This window comes from Homo sapiens, chromosome 21 (assembly GCF_000001405.40).
Source record: "Homo sapiens chromosome 21, GRCh38.p14 Primary Assembly".
Taxonomy (NCBI): domain Eukaryota; kingdom Metazoa; phylum Chordata; class Mammalia; order Primates; family Hominidae; genus Homo; species Homo sapiens.
Window position 1 is genome coordinate 36,014,471 of NC_000021.9, and position 15,947 is coordinate 36,030,417.

Sequence of the window (15,947 nt, forward strand, 5' to 3'; positions counted from 1 at the left end):
GACCAGCCTCAGCAACATGGCAAAACCTCATCTCTACTAAAAATACAAAAATTAGTTGGTCGTGGTGGTGGGTGCCTGTAATCCCAGCTACTCAGGAGGCTGAGGCAGGAGAATCGCTTGAACCCAGGAGGTGGAGGTTGCAGAGAGCCGAGATCGCGCCACTGCACTCCAGCCTGGGCGACACAGTAAGACTCCATCTCAAAAAACAAAACAAAAAAACAAAACAAAAAAACCTCTAGTAGAGATTGAAACTCCTGTGGGAGCCGTGCTCCCTTCAATAGCATACTGCTCCAGGATAATCCACCCTGTGTCGGAGTTGTGAAAACAGAACTCCTCAGGGATCTGCTATATCCAAACTATTCCAGAGTCCCAATTGATGAGCTTTTATTGCAAAAGCCATTGAGAAACAGATTCTTTTCTCAGTGCTCTTCTGAAGGGTGAGCAAATCAATCTTACTTCCTAGATGTGTCAGCTGAGTCAAGTTACCCAGAAAGAAACACAGGAGAAATGAGTCCCTGACAAGCCTGGGTGGAAGTTCCGTCCACTGCTGTCAATCCTGCATATTTTGTTCCAATCCACTATTTCTTTAAAATTGCTGAGTAAAATGTTGGATATGACTCAGGCATCCCGAAAATCTCAAATCTCTGAATATTCAACATCAATTTAAAGAAGACACAAGATACTGGGCTTTTTTTCCCCATTGTCAAAATATGGGGCGTATGCCGTTGCAAGTTGAGTATGTAAAAAACCATGATGCTATTTTATAGTCATGGAATCAATCATGAGAATTCACAGTCTTGTGAACAGGGACTTCTCATATTTGATAAATGACTTGATTGCTGTGTTTCTGATTAGCGGCTTTTCAATTGCATTACAAATGTTGGAAACATCCATTAGTCAGTATTTAGCAACATTTTAGGAACTGATTAAAGTGAATCCGTGTTTCAGAAACATAGAACTACTTGTGCTGTGAACTCAACAGTGAAGATATCCAACAGATCCTTTGGGAAGAGAGAAATAGACAAGAATCTTAAGCCACCTTCCTTTTGTTGTTGTTGTTAGAGACAGTCTCACTGTCACCCAGGCTGGACTGCAGTGGTGTGATCGTAGCTCACTGCAGCCTCAATCTCCCAATCTCAAGCAATCCTCCCACCTCAGCCTCTTAAGTAGCTGGGACTACAGGTGCACACCACCACACCTGGCTCATTTTTTTTTCGAATTTTTAGTAGAGACGAGCTCTTGCTATGTTGCCCAGGCTAGTCTCAAACTCCTAGCCTCAAGCAGTCCTTAAGCCTCAGCCTCCCAAAGTGCTGGGATTACAGGCATGAGCCACTGCTCCCATCCCAGGCCATCTTCTGCATGTAATTTAATTTCTGCAGGTTTGCCAGTTGGCTTGTCACTTTTACCCAGAAGTATCTGAGAGAGAAAAAAAAAAAAATTAAAGCAGGTGTGGGGCAAGAGGGAAGGCAGACACAAACGCAATCCAATGTTATAGTAGAAGATCACTGCTTAGACTATCTCCATAGTTCATCTTTGCTTTGGTTTCCATCTTAATTTTTTTATGTGAAAAGATATACATATATTTAGAATTAGCCAGCTGGACTCAGTTTAGATGATCCCAATTTTGTTGGCAACATCCAAAGCATCATAATCAGGAGCCAGTGGAACATATGCCTTCTTCTCTCCATCAGGCCGAATCAGGGTGTTGACCTTGGCCATGTCAATATCATAGAGCTTCTTCACAGCCTGTTTGATCTGGTGCTTGTTGGCTTTAACATCCACTATGAACACAAGTGTGTTGCTGTCTCCTATCTTCTTCATGGCCGACTCAGTGGTCAGCGGAAACTTGATGATAGCATAGTGGTCAAGCTTGTTTCTTCTGGGGGCACTCTTCCAAGGATATTTGGGCTGCCTCCAGAGTCGCAGTGTCTTGGGCCACTGGAAGGTGGGTGACGTGTGGATCATTTTTTTTGTGGCTGTGGACACCTTTCAACACTGCCTTCTTGGCCTTTAAAGCCTTCGCTTTGGCTTCGGCTTTAGGAGGGCAGGAGCTTCCTTCTTTGCTTTCGGTGCCATCTTGTGAAAAGCCCATCTTAATTTTTAAATTGAGATTGGTAAAGTTTTTCTATTTCTTCATAGTAAATATTTTCAGCTTTGCAGGCCATACATAGTCTCTGTTGCAACTACTCAACTCTGCCTTTGTAAGAACGAAGCAGCTATAGGCAATATGTAAATGAAGGGTGTGGCTGTGTTTCCATGAAACTTTATTAATAAAAACAGGAATCAGGGGCCGGGCACGGTGGCTCGTGCCTGTAATCCCAGCACTTTGGGAGGGCGAGGTGGGAAGATCACTTGAGCTCAGGAGTTCAAAACCAGCCTGGCCAACATGGTGAAACCCTGTCTCTACAAAAAATACAAAAATTAGGCGGGTGTGGTGGCACGCACCTGTAGTCCCAGCTACTCAGGAGGCTGAGGCAGGAGAATCACTTTGAACCCAGGAGGCGGAGGTTGCATGCAGTGAGCCAAGATCGCACCACTGCACCCAGCCTGGGTGACAGAACGAGACTCCATCTCAAAAACAAAAACAAAAACAAAAAACAGGCATCAGGTTGGATTTGGCCCATGGGTCACAGTTCATCAACCCAGCTCTTCACTATGCTAGAATCAAGAGCCATGATTATGTTTTACAATTTTGATAGCTGCTGACATCACTGATTGTATGTCATATTTACCCTACTTCAGACCAACATTTATTTCCTTTTCTTTTTGTACATTGCCAGATTACATTGCGATGCTATATCACAAATTTGGAGGTACCACATTTTAATGGGAAGGAAATATTACGATATGGAGACAAATATACATCACTCCAAGCCTCCCCACCGCTATCCTCTACCCCCATGAAAATGAATGATTGTGGAGGAGTGGAGCAAGTTTTCAGTGGAAATAGTGAAATGATTCTAAAATCCCTCTTTTTCCACCGAGCATGGTGGTTCACACCTGTAATCCCAGCACTTTGGGAGGCTGAGGCGGGTGGATAACCTGAGGTCAGGAGTTCGAGACCAGCCTGACCAACATGGTGAAACCCCATCTCTACTAAAAATACAAAAATTAGCTGGGCGTGGTGGTGCACGCCTGTAGTCCCAGCTACTCGGGAGACTGAGACAGGAGAATTGCTTGAACCTGGGAGGCAGAGGTTGCAGTGAGCCAAGATACCACCACTGCACTCCAGCCTAGGTGACGGAGCAAGACTCCATCTCAAAAAAACAAAAAACAAACCAAAAACACCCTCAAAAAAACAAAAGAAACGCTTCGCTTCTCCTCCTCAGTCCTTAACTTCCTCTCTTCTTCCCCTTTCAGAGTGAGATTTTGCGTGGTAAGATTTGGGGAGGCATGTTTTGATATTCCTTGTGATTTTGAATGGGAGGCCAAGCAGGGCTTCAGGAAGTGGAGCCCAGAGCTGGTGTTCCTGGGCTTGGTGACAGGTCCTGGGCCCCTCCCTGTCTGAGGATACCATTCTATGTGTCCCCATGACAACTCCGAGGTTTGATGCTGGTGGAGCTGATTGCTTCCATGAGGGCTTCATAGTCTAATTCTAGCACACTCTCCATTTCTCAATGGACCACTCCAAAAAGCTTCCCTCGAAGGATCAGTCTGGCCAAGAAAAACTTGCATGGCCCTGGGTACCACCATTTCTACCTGCACAGCTCCGGACAACCGCAGAATCCTGATGCCCGCTCTATGTGGGACCATGAAAGGCCCTCTCGATGTTGTCCTGCTCTCAGATTTCTTTTTCCAGAAAGTTCAGCTGTGGCTCCCATTTCTACTGCTATGTAACACTGCTGTGCTCAGGCTGGGGAAGCCCCTAATTTTCCAACAGGGAAATAATCTTGTACATTGAGACCAACCGTAACATTATCCCAAGCAGCTATGAGATGTGCACAAGTAATTTGTTATTAATCCAAATTTAGCCTTCTCCCTGACATAAAATTAAATTATGCCTTCAAAAGCCTAAAATGGCTTAAACATTATCCCTAAAATAATGTCACTTCCGATGTGCTTTCTGTAGTGAAAAAAAAGAAGTTAGGTGAGAATGAATGAACCACCTATGCTTCCCCTCACAACCCAGAAGCCCTTGATCCACAGTGAGCAGCCGTGGGAAATACAAATTGTTCTGCTGCTTGCAAGGTGTGGTTTTATAGTTTCTGTTGTTTTCTTTTGCATTTCATTCTGAAATATATTCTTTTTTTTTTTTTTTTTGAGACATAGTCTCGCTCTGTTGCCCAGGCTGGAGTGGAGTGATGTGATCTCGGCTGTCTGCAACCTCCGCCTTCCAGGTTCAAGTGATTCTCCTGCCTCAGCCTTCTGAGTAGCTGGGATTATAGATGCCCGCCACCACACCTGGCTAATTTTTATTTTGTATTTTTGGTAGAGATGGGGTTTCACCATGGTGGCCAGGCTGGTCTTGAAGTCCTGACCTCAAGCTATCTACCCCCCTCAGCCTCCCAAAGTGCTGAGATTATAGGCGTGAGCCACCGTGCCTGGCCCTGAGATAGATTTTTAACATGAAAGATGTCAAGGCTAAACACACGTGAGTAACCCCTGCACTGCTGATGAACGAATATGCCACCCTGCCTCTCTCCAAGCAAAGAGGAGAAACCTGCCATCAGGCTGTATGAACTCTTCTTTGCTTTTTTCCAGTATTGTCATTCAGATTAGCTTTCATGCACGTACCACAAGAAAAATCAGATGTCCTGGATTTGTCCTGTGTTCCTCATCAGCAGAGGAAGCCACTAGCAGCCCTTACGAGAATCAAGGCTACTCTACTGGAACTCTTCTTACATAGCCAAAAATGTGTGAATTCCATTTACTGTGATTTTTAACAAAAATGTGTTTATTTAAATGTGTTTATTGTGGTACTCGCTTGCTTAATTATCTTATTTATTTTATTTGTTGTATTTTTGAGACAGGTTCTCACTCTGTAGCCCAGACTAGAGTGCAGTGATGCGATCCTAGCTCACTGTAGCCTCAACCTCCTGGGCTCAAGCAATCCTCCTGCCTCAGCCTCCAGAATAGTTGGGACTACAGCTATGTGCCAGCACACCCAGCTAATTTTTTTTTTTTTTTTTTTTTTTTTTTTGTGGAGACGGGGTCTTGCTGTGTTGAGCAGGCTGGTCTCAAACTCCTGGCCTCAAGTGATCCTCCTGCCTCACCCTCCCAAAGTGCTGGGATTACAGGTGTGAGCCATCACTACCCTTGGCCTGTTTGCTTAATTATCTGTGGAATACAGAAAAAGAAAAAAATCAATACTCTTTAAAAAAATAATCTAGTCCTTAAAACACATTTTTAGACCGGCCATATTGGCTCACACCTGTAATCCCAGCACTTTGGGAGGCCAAAGTGGGTGGATCACTTGAGGTGAGGAGTTCAAGACCAGCCTGGCCAACATGGCAAAACCCCATCTCTACTAAAAATACAAAAATTAGCCAGGTGTGGTGGTGAGCGCCTGTAATCTCAGCTACTCAGGAAGCTGAGGCAAAAGAATCTCTTGAATCCAGGAGGTGGAGGTTGCAAGGAGCTGAGATTGCACCACTGCACTCCAGCCTGGGTGACAGAATGAGACTGTCTCCAAAAAAAACTAAAAAATAAAATACATTTTAAATGATTTTCAGTGACTAGTTTTTGGAGACCTTTACATGGCTGCTTTACTCATGTGGATGAATGTGTTTATCAATGTCCCTGGGGAAAATAAAAGCAGCGTTATTTGCCTTACTTCCCTACCAGATTTTTGATATTTTCTCAAAATCAGCTGGGTGCAGGAGCATGAGCCTGTAACCCCAAGCTCTACTCAGGAGGCTGAGGTGGGAGGATCAGTTGAGCCCAGGAGGTCAAGGCTGCAGTAAGCTATCACTGCACCACTGCACTCCAGCCTGGGTGACAGAGCAAGACTCTGTTTCTTTAAAAACAAAACAAAACAAAAAAATCTTATATTTTCTCAAAATCGGAGTCCACTCATGGGATGTGTCATTTTATTAGCTATATATATACATCTATGCCGTTTGGATTTGAATGTCATCCATTATCTGTTGCAGTGGGTTGAATGGTGTCCCCTTCCCCCAAAAAAAGACATGCCCAATCCCTAAGTCCCAGTACCTGTGAATGCGGCCTTGCTTGGAAATCATATCTTTGCAGATGTCATGAAGAGAAGGATCTCAAGTTGAGATTATCCTACATTAGTTGTGTGAGCCCTGAATGCAATGAACCTTATAAGACAAAAGGAGAAACAGATACAGAAAGAGACATGGGAGAAGGTGATGTGACCACATAGGCAGAGATGGGAGTGACGCAGCAGCAAGCCAGGGAGCCCTACGGATGGCCGGCCGCCACCAAAAGCTGGGAGAAAGGCAGGGAACAGATTCTCCCTGAGAGCCTTTAGAGCAAGCACAGCCCTGCTCACACCATGATTTCAGACTTCCAGCCTCCAGGACTGTGCAAGAATAAATGTCTGTTGTTTTAAGCCACCGAGCTTGTGGAACTTTGTAACGGCAGCCCTGGGAAACTAACACCTGTGGGTCGAGGCAGGGAAAGAAATGCTGCCCCAGTATAGAGAAGATTTGCTCCAGGTTCTAGGAGAGCCAAAAAGCAGCATCTCATGGCCGTCAGCAAACCCCTGGGAGGACGGCAGACCCCAGGGGGCGAGCAAACTTGCTGGTGGTTGGAGCATGCCTGATGCTATCACTCTGTGGGTACCAAGTACCAGGCAAACAGGTAGGCCTTGTTCAAAGCCAGTGATGGAGAGAGGCACTCTCCAACAGAGCCATCGAACAGGGCACGTACTGTATCAGCTCTAGCAGAGGCCAGCAAACTTTTCTGTAAAGGGCTTGATAGTAAGTATTTTCAGCTTTGTGAACCACAAACCGGAGTAGTCTCTGTCACACCTCCTCAGCTCTGCTGTTGGGAAGTGAAACCAACCATATGCAACTGCCAAACAAATACACGTGAAAATCTTTATTTACACATGCTTCGCTCTATACCCAAAAAAATGTAAAGCAGGGACTCAAACAGATACTTGTATATGAATGTTATTCTCACAATAGCCAAGAGGTGGAAATAACCCAGGTGTTCATCAATAGATGAATGGACAAACGAAATGTGTAGATACACGTACATGCAAAGGAATAGTATACAGCCTTAAAAAGGAATGAAATTCTGACACGTGCTACAACGTGGGTGAACCCTGAACGCATGATGCTAAGTAAAATAAGCCAGACACAAAAGTAAAAAGATCGTATGACTGCACTTACATGAAGTACCTAGAACAGGCAAATTCATAGAGATAGAAAGTAGAAGTTACTAGAAGCTCAGGAAAGTGGGAAATGGAAAGTTACCGATTCACGGTACAGAGTTCCTATTTGGGGTGCTGAAAAAGTTTTGAAATTAGATAGTGGGGATGGTTATACAAAGTGTGAATATACTCAATGCCACTGAATTGTACAATTTAAAATGGTTAAAATAGTAAATTTTATGTTATACATATTTTGTCATAATAAAGTTTGCATTTAGAAAAAAAAAATTTCTTTCAAACAGAGTCTCACTCTGTCACCCAGGCTGGAGTGCAGTGGCATCATCTCGGCTCACTGCAACCTCTGCCTCCCAGGTTCATTCTTTCTGCCTCAGCTTCCTGAGTAGCTGGAATTACAGGCATGCATCACCACAACCAGCTAATTTTTGTATTTTTAGTAGAAATGGGGTTTTGCCATTTTGGCCAGGCTGGTCTCGAACTTCTGACCTCAAGTGATCCACCCAGCTCAGCCTCCCAAAGTGCTGGGATTACAGGCGTGAGCAACCATACCCGGCTTAGGAAAAAAAAAAATTATTTACAAAAATAGAAACTGGCCATAGTTTGCCAACTCCTGGTATAGAGTTTTCTATAACATCAAAGTGGCTCTTGGTATGTGACTGTTCCAGAATTATCCCAGCATAGCAGATATGAGGTGGTACTTCCTATGAGCTCTGCCATCCTCAGTCCCTGGACTGTGTCATTTCCTTTGGGCATGTGCACATACACCCCTGGAACATGGAGGAAGGCATATTAATAGCGGGTAGTATGGATTTAAAAGCCTCAGAACCGTGTCATTGATGCTATGCTCTGTTCCTGGAAGTGAAAATGCACAGAGGAACCAGCTGGTACAGTATGATGACAACAGATTTAGGGTACCCAGTCACCATTCACTGCATGGCCTCAGTCACGTTATCCCTGCTCTCTGGGCCTCAGTTTAATCAGATGATTCTCATTTGCTGGCTATATGATGTCCTGCTCTGGAAAAGCATGTAGCTTAGAAATGAGACTGCATGTGAAGGTATTACACCACCCCCCGTGGATGGCTGCCACCATCCTTAAGCATATTTTCATCCAGAAGAATAAACATCCTTAGAGAAATACACATGAAATGCAAAGCTTGAAGTCATAACTCAATGCATAACAACCTGCAAACCAGTACAGGCTTATGAGCTAGCTAATAAAATAAATCATAGTCATGTTTTTCAAATGACTTTTCATGTGTTGTCATTACTTCTCCGACGTACTGTAAATTAACTGTGAAGTGCTACTTCCTGCAGGGAGGTTTTCTTTCCCCTCCCAAATATAAAGAGGTTGTAAGGCTAAAGAATGCAGACATGCATCATGTCTGCGAAAATCATTTTTTAAAAAGATCAAATGTAATATTTTCTTTCAACATGGACAACTGCTTTGAGATTTTCCATTCAAGCAGCCTTGAACACAGCCTCCAGCGTTTGCCAATTACTCCTGACAAATACCATTTGGGCCTGAGTGATGTTGTAAGTGAAATAAAACAGTGGAAGGAAAAAAACCAGAACATGATAAAAGGAATTTTTTTTGGTCTGCTGAGAACTTACTGTAAGTTATACATTCAGGAGTGAAGGCCCTGCTTCCTGCCAGTGACGGACTCCATGTGAGCTGGAGTTTGAAGGTGACTTTTGTTTGACAGTAATAGGAAGGGAAGACAAAACTCAGTTTTCATGTCCCTTGAAAGGGAGTCAGCCCTTTTTTCTCCCTCATAAAGAGGAAAAAAAAGTATATAAACAAAAGAAGAGAAAAAGAGGCACTAGGCCCTGTTCCCTGTCATTCTGCACAATACGCACTAATGGCTGAAAACAATCCCATGAAATCAGCGTGGCCAGCATGCCCGGGCGGCCAGCAGCCCCACCTGCCTCCGTACCTGAGCTCTGAGCATGTTAGAACCAGCTGAAGGCAACCAAAGCCACAGGAAAGAGAGGGCACAGCCAACTTTCAAAGTGCAGTCATCTGGTCCCACCCCCACCCCCCTACCCCCATCTCTCCTGAAGTTTCCTCCTTTTTTTTTTTTTTTTTGAGACAGAGTCTCCCTCTGTTGTACACGCTGGAGTGCAGTGCTGCAATCTCGGCTCCTGCAACCTCCACCTCCTGGGTTCAAGTGATTCTAGTGCCTCAGCCTCCCGAGTAGCTGGGATTACAGGCACCCACCACCACACTCGACTAATTTTTGTATTTTTAGTAAAGACGGGGTTTCACCATGTTGACCAGGCTGATCTCAAACTCCTGATCTCAAATGATCTGCCCGCCTTGGCCTCCCGAAGTGCTGGGATTACAGGTATGAGCCACCGTGCCTGGCCAAGTTTCCTCCTTTTCTGAGGTTCCTGTCCCAGAATCTATGATGGCCAAGACAAAGCAAAGGTGAAGACTGCTCCCCCTCCACCACTGCCTTTCCCAACATCCTTCTCTGCTTGTTCTTTAAGATTCCAGTGAAACTCAACCTTGACCTCAGTGCTGTGGGGAATCAGAGAGCAGCCAGGGGAAACGACTGGAAAGAGGCTGGGTGGTAACTGGGCACAGTGGCTCATGCCTGTAATCCCAGCATTTTGAGAGACAAAGGTGGGAGGATCACTTGAGGCCTAGAGTTTGAGACCAGTCTGGGCAACATGGTGAGACCCCCGTCTCTACAAAATATTTTTAGAATTAGCCAGGTGTGGTGGTGCGTGCCTGTAGTTCCAACTGCTCAGGAGACGGAGGCAGGATGGTTGCTTGAGCTCACGAATTTGAGGCTGCAGTGAGCCATGATTGGCCGTTGCACTCCAGCCTGGGCAAAAGAGCAGGACCCTGTCTCTCAAGGCTGAGAGGGTACCAAGTGCCCACATGGTATCCAGCAGACCAGGACCCAGAGCTGGTCTGTCTATACCAGCCACGAACCTTGGACAAGGAAGGGACTTTGCTAGCTAATAAAAATAAGCTGGACTGACTGACTGAGCTGGACTTTCCCCATCTGTTGGGGGAGACTATTGTAGCCACTGAGGATGAAACTGATTCAGGGCTGGCAGCCTGTCGTACTGTGCTGGCACCTGGAAATGCTAAGTCAATGCCACGGTCCAGTCTGAACATCCTGGGACCCCTCCACTCAGGGTGCACCAGTCCTAATGCACCTGTGGAGCTCGGCGATTTTGTAACCACACTGCTGCACTGGGATCTATTTTTCCCGGTGAATGAAAAACTCACAAATGTGAGTGATTTAGGCTGGAGGTCCGCAGCCCCACGGCGCAGAGGCTCCCCAGCATGTGGTGTGAGTAAGGGGCTGGTGGCTTTCTGTCCAGCTGCCTCCCACTTCAAGAAGTCTTTGGCAACTGCCATGCCCCAAAGTAAAAGGGGCAAAACCATGGTCATTGTGCTGATAATCGGGCCTCGTGGGTCCTCTGAGCAGAACCCCAGCCCCGCCTCACTTTCTGTAAATGAGCCATCTCCACTGGCACCTCGTGTCAAGGAAGGGTGAACCAGGACAGGGCTAAAGGGATTGCCAATGGACAGCCCAGAAGACAGGTCATAAACCGCCCAACTGGCTCGATGTCTGGAGTCGGTCACACCTCGAAGACACTGTTTTCCTAACTTTCACGTACACGGGAATCTTGTTCCAATGCAGATTCTGATTCAGTGGGTCCAGGGCAGGGCCTGAGATCCTGAATTTCTTTTCATTTGTGTGTGTGTGTGTCTGTGTGTGTTTGTTTGTTTGAGATGGAGTCTCGCTCTGTCACACAGGCTAGAGTGCAGTGGCACGATCTCGGCTCACTGCAACCTCCACCTCCCGGGTTCAAGCGATTCTCCTGACCTCAAGTGATCTGGCTTAGCCTCCCCAGGTAGCTGGGATTATAGGTGCCATTACCACACCCAGCTAATTTTTGTGTTTTCAGTAGAGACAGGGTTTCCCCATGTTGGCCAGGCTGATCTTGAACTCCTGACCTCAGGTGATCCTCTGCCTCTCAGAGTGCTGGGATTACAGGTGTGAGCCACCACGCCCGGCCAAGATCCTGAATTTCTAATAGGCTCCCAGGTGCTGCTGATGTGCTCTGCAGATCACCCTGTGAGGAGCAGGGTTCTAAGGCAAACAGCCCCAATCAACAAAGCTGAAAGCACTTATTTAGCTTCCTGGGGGACATTTTTTGGTGGTAGTGGCCTCCTTTATAGACTTTTGCCCTGGTGACCTATAAAAGAAAGAAGATAGATCCTAGCAGTTGCCCCCTGCCAGTACTTTTCTCCTGCTGGTATCAGAGACACTGCCTTCTAATACAGAGACACAGTATTTCTCCTCTCGCACGACTGCTGCCATGGTTGTGAGTCAAGACTCCCTGCCTAGACTACATGGTGGCCACCTACTCTTAACATTGAACCACAACCATCAAAAATCACTTGTGGCCAGGTGTGGGTGGCTCACACCTGTAATCCCAGCACTTTGGGAGGCCGAGGCGGTTGGATCACCTAAGGTCAGAAGTTCAAGACCAGCCTGGCTAACATGGCACAACCCAGCTCTACTAAAAAAAATACAAAAAAATTAGCTGGGAGTGGTGGCGTAGTGCACGCCTGTAACCCCAGCTACTTAGGAGGCTGAGGCAGGAGAATCACTTGAACCCAGGAAGTGGAGGTTGTAGTGAGCTGAGATTATGCCACTGCTGCACTCCAGCCTGGGTGACAGAGCACGAAACTGTCTCAAAACAAAACAAAAAAAACTTGTTATTCCAACCTGAATACTTTTTTTTTTTTTTTGAGACGGAGTTTCACTCTTTTTGCCCAGGCTGGAGTGCAATGGCGCGATCTCAGCTCACCGTAACCTCCGCCTCCCAGGTTCAAGCAATTCTCCTGTCTCGGCCTCCCGAGTAGCTGGGATTATAGGCGTGAGCCACCGTGCCCTGCTAATTTTGTATTTTTAGTAGAGACGGGGTTTCTCCACATTGGTCAGGCTGGTCTCGAACTCCTGACCTCAGGTGATCTGCCTGCCTCAGCCTCCCAAAGTGCTGGGATTACAGGCATGAGCCACCTCGCCTGGCTTACTCTTTTTTTTTTTTTTTTTTTTTTTGAGGCAAAGTCTTGCTCTGGCGCCCAGACTGCAGTACAGCGGCATGATCTAGGCTCACTACAACCTGGGCCTTCCAGATTCAAGTGATTCTCATGCCTTGGCCTCCTGAGTAGCTAGCATTACAGGCATGTGCCACCAAGCCTGGCTAATTTTTGTATTTTTTCAGTAGAGATGGGGTTTTGCTGTGTTGGCCAGGCTGATCTGGAACTCCTGGCCTCAAGTGATACGCCCACCTCAGCCTCCCAAAGTGCTGGAATTACAGGCATGAGTCACCATGCTTGGCCCCAACCTGAGTTCTCTTAAATAATATCTGCATTCCATATACATAATCACCATCACCAGTGAGGCAACTCCAATCAGATAAACAGTAATGTATACCTTTCTCTACTCCTCCAATTAAAAAAAAAAAAACCTTCAATATAGTGATATTGAATATTGGCCTCATCGAGGTCTTGGTAGCACTCTGTAGATCAACATGCCAAAGAGAAAACAAACTTCCACTCAACACAAAGCCAGAATGTGTATCAATAGCACGGGGCTGGGGAGGAGAAGGGTATCAGGAGGGAGAAAAGCATTATAGCAGCTTCCCGGTTCACAAGTTGAATTTGTCTACACATAAGACCAGATGACAGAGCTTCTGATAAAGTCCAGCTGACCAAAGAAATCATTTCAAGTGAGGCCATCAGCGTCAAGTCATCATGTGATGTTGTACTGAGTCAGTCCACATCACCAGCCATTTGGGGATCTACAGTGTCTCAGTATCCTGTGGACAGAGAAGCTCAAGCGCACCCTGATGGTTTTTTTCACTCTACCTTGAGGCCCCAACCTCTGATCAGTCATGCACCTCTAACAAAGATGGGCCAGGCCTCCCCTCGGTCAGCAGAAATGGATTCTTTCCACCTCACCACAAAATACTTCACGTTATTCTAGAAACACCTGGCAGATGAGAAGCTAGGAGTCACAGGATCCGTCCCTCTGTTTGTGTGGGTGGTCAGTTTCAACTCCTTAAAAGCCATCCTTCTGGCCAGGCACAGTGGTTCACACCTGTAATCCCAGCAACTTCCTAGCACTTTGGGAGTCCGAGGCAGGTGGATCACCTGAGGCCTGGAGTTCGAGACCAGCCCCATCTCTACTAAAAATAAAAAAATCAGCCAGGCATGGTGGTGCATGCCTGTAAGTCCAGCTCTTGGCGCATGCCTGTAATTCCAGCTACTCGGAGGCTGAGGCAGGAGAATTGCTTGAACCTGGGGTGCAGAGGTTGCAGTGAGCAGAGATCGCCCCATTGCACTCCAGCCTGAGCAACAAGAGTGAAACTCTGTCTCAAAAAAAAAAAATCCTTCTTTTGGCCTGCCTGAAACAGCCTGAGTCTACCTGCTATCAATTAGGATAGAAATTGAAACCTGCTACCCGGTGTGAAAAGTTCTCTCCTTCTCAAAAGTAAGGGCTAAATATATGCCTTTATTTGTGGCTCCTCTGTGGGCAGAGCCAGGATGGTTCCTGCACGGTCTCACCCCCTCCTCCTCTCGCCATTACATCTGAGCCACCACTGCCCTCTCCAGCCCCTGCCCCACCTGGCCAGGTCCCTTCCCGAGCAGCTATCACCTTGAAGTGGTGTTTATCCGCCCAAAGGAGAATGTGAACGTTGGCATTTTCTTCCAGGGGAAACACGGAGAGTTGCTTCTGCCTTGTTTGGATGCTACTAATATTTGGGAAAACCACTCTCTGCTGCCTGACTTGACCGAGCCGCAGTACCCAGGTCAGCTCGGCGGTCCTCTTGCGCCATCTAGTGTACGAAAGGTGGAAGTGGCTCAAGCACGTTGCAAAGTCCCACAGGGATTCCAAGATCCACCTGGTACTTACCAAGCATCAGCCCAAACACTCTGGACACGGAGAGGTGTGGCGCCTTTTAAAGGAGACACGTGGAATTAAATTTGCTAATCACTTCTCGTGGACTGGGCGGGCACTCCAACTGTATTTACTGAGCCAAATGATAAAGAGTTGATCTCTGGATTCATCTGTACTCAACATGAAGTGGTACTATTTAAAAGATCATTTAGGCAGCATGAACTTGTGTAGTATAAGAATTGACACTTGGCCAGGCGTGGTGGCTCCCGCCTATAATTCCAGCACTTTGGGAGGCCAAGGCGGGTGGATTGCCTGAGTTCAGGAGTTCGAAACCAGCCTGGGCAACACGGTGAAACCCCCATCTCTACTAAATACAAAAAATTAGCTGGGTGTGGCAGCATGCACCTGTAATCGCAGCTACTCAGGAGGCTGAGGCAGGAGAATTGCTTGAACCCGGGAGGTGGAGGTTGCAATGAGCCGAGATCACGCCATTGCACTCCAGCCTGGGCAACAGAGCAAGACTCTATCTCCAAAAAAATTAAAAAAAAAAAAAAGAAAAGAATTGACACTCTTCAGCTTGCCTCCCACACCTCTGAAAACCAGAAAGTTCCAGCTGGGAAAAGGTAAGGCAGCTTGCTCCCATATCCCAGAGGTTCAGAAAGGGAACTTTGGTGAACATCAGTCATGTGGGAGCTTTAAATCTCCACTGCCCCGGCACACCTCAGGCCAACTAGTTCAGACCCCTGCAGTGGGAACCCGGCCTCAGAATTTTTTAAAGCTCCGCATGTGATTCCAGTGAACAGCAAAGCCGCCAACCACTGCTACAGCCTTTACCATCAGAGGCTTGGAAGGCAAAGACGTCCAGTGACACAGGTCTCAGACATGGCACGAGAAGCACAGGTCTACGCTGCCTGTCCCAAACACAGTCGCCTTAGACCCAACCTGCTTCCTCTGTGACATCCCAAACTCTCTCTTATCTGTCAACAGTTTAGTCTCCCTTTGTGATTATCACAGTAAAAACTGGAATTGTTGACTGTCCCAAGCATTACTGAGTGGGGTCTTTGCCGTTCTGGTCTTGGCCCTATCTTCTGAATCTGGGCATTAGGAAGAGATTTCAGGGTTCTGAGCAGTTTCTATGGCACCGAGACAATGCTTTCAACTGCAACAGGAGAGCCTCTCCCCTGAGACGAATTCCACGGAAACGAGAAAAGGCCTGCTTTGGGCTCACTCACCCCTTCTCAGCCCTCTAATAACAGCTATGCCCTGTATGAGATATGAGCTGTCAGTGTGATGAGAAGCGGGCTGTAAAACTGAAATGGGACCATTTGAGGCGAGGCTGCAGCGAGAGAGACTGGCTCACTCTGCCCTGCAGCAGGGCCAGGGAGTGGAGTTGCCTGGTTCCTCCAGAACAGCCTGCAAGGTGAAGTAGTCACTCGGCCTTTCACAAAGCAAAACCAGACAACATAAACTGCTTGAAGGTGGCGGGTCCCCTCCCTTACCCTAGACTGCCTAACTTAGGAGGCAGAAACAGGTATCACTCACACATCAGAGGCAGGAACTCAGACACCAGACACTGCTGGCTTCTAATCCCTGCCACGTGATGTGGGAGAAGTCAGTTGACCCGTCTATGCCTCAGTGTCTTCAACTCTAACAAAAGATGGAATACCTGCCTCATAGAGCTATTGTGACAATTAGATGAGAAAGAGG

General features: G+C 46.7%; 1 pseudogene; it reads right to left on the bottom strand.

Moving 5' to 3' along the window:
- On the bottom strand, nucleotides 1,564–2,087 carry RPL23AP3 (ribosomal protein L23a pseudogene 3; annotated as a pseudogene).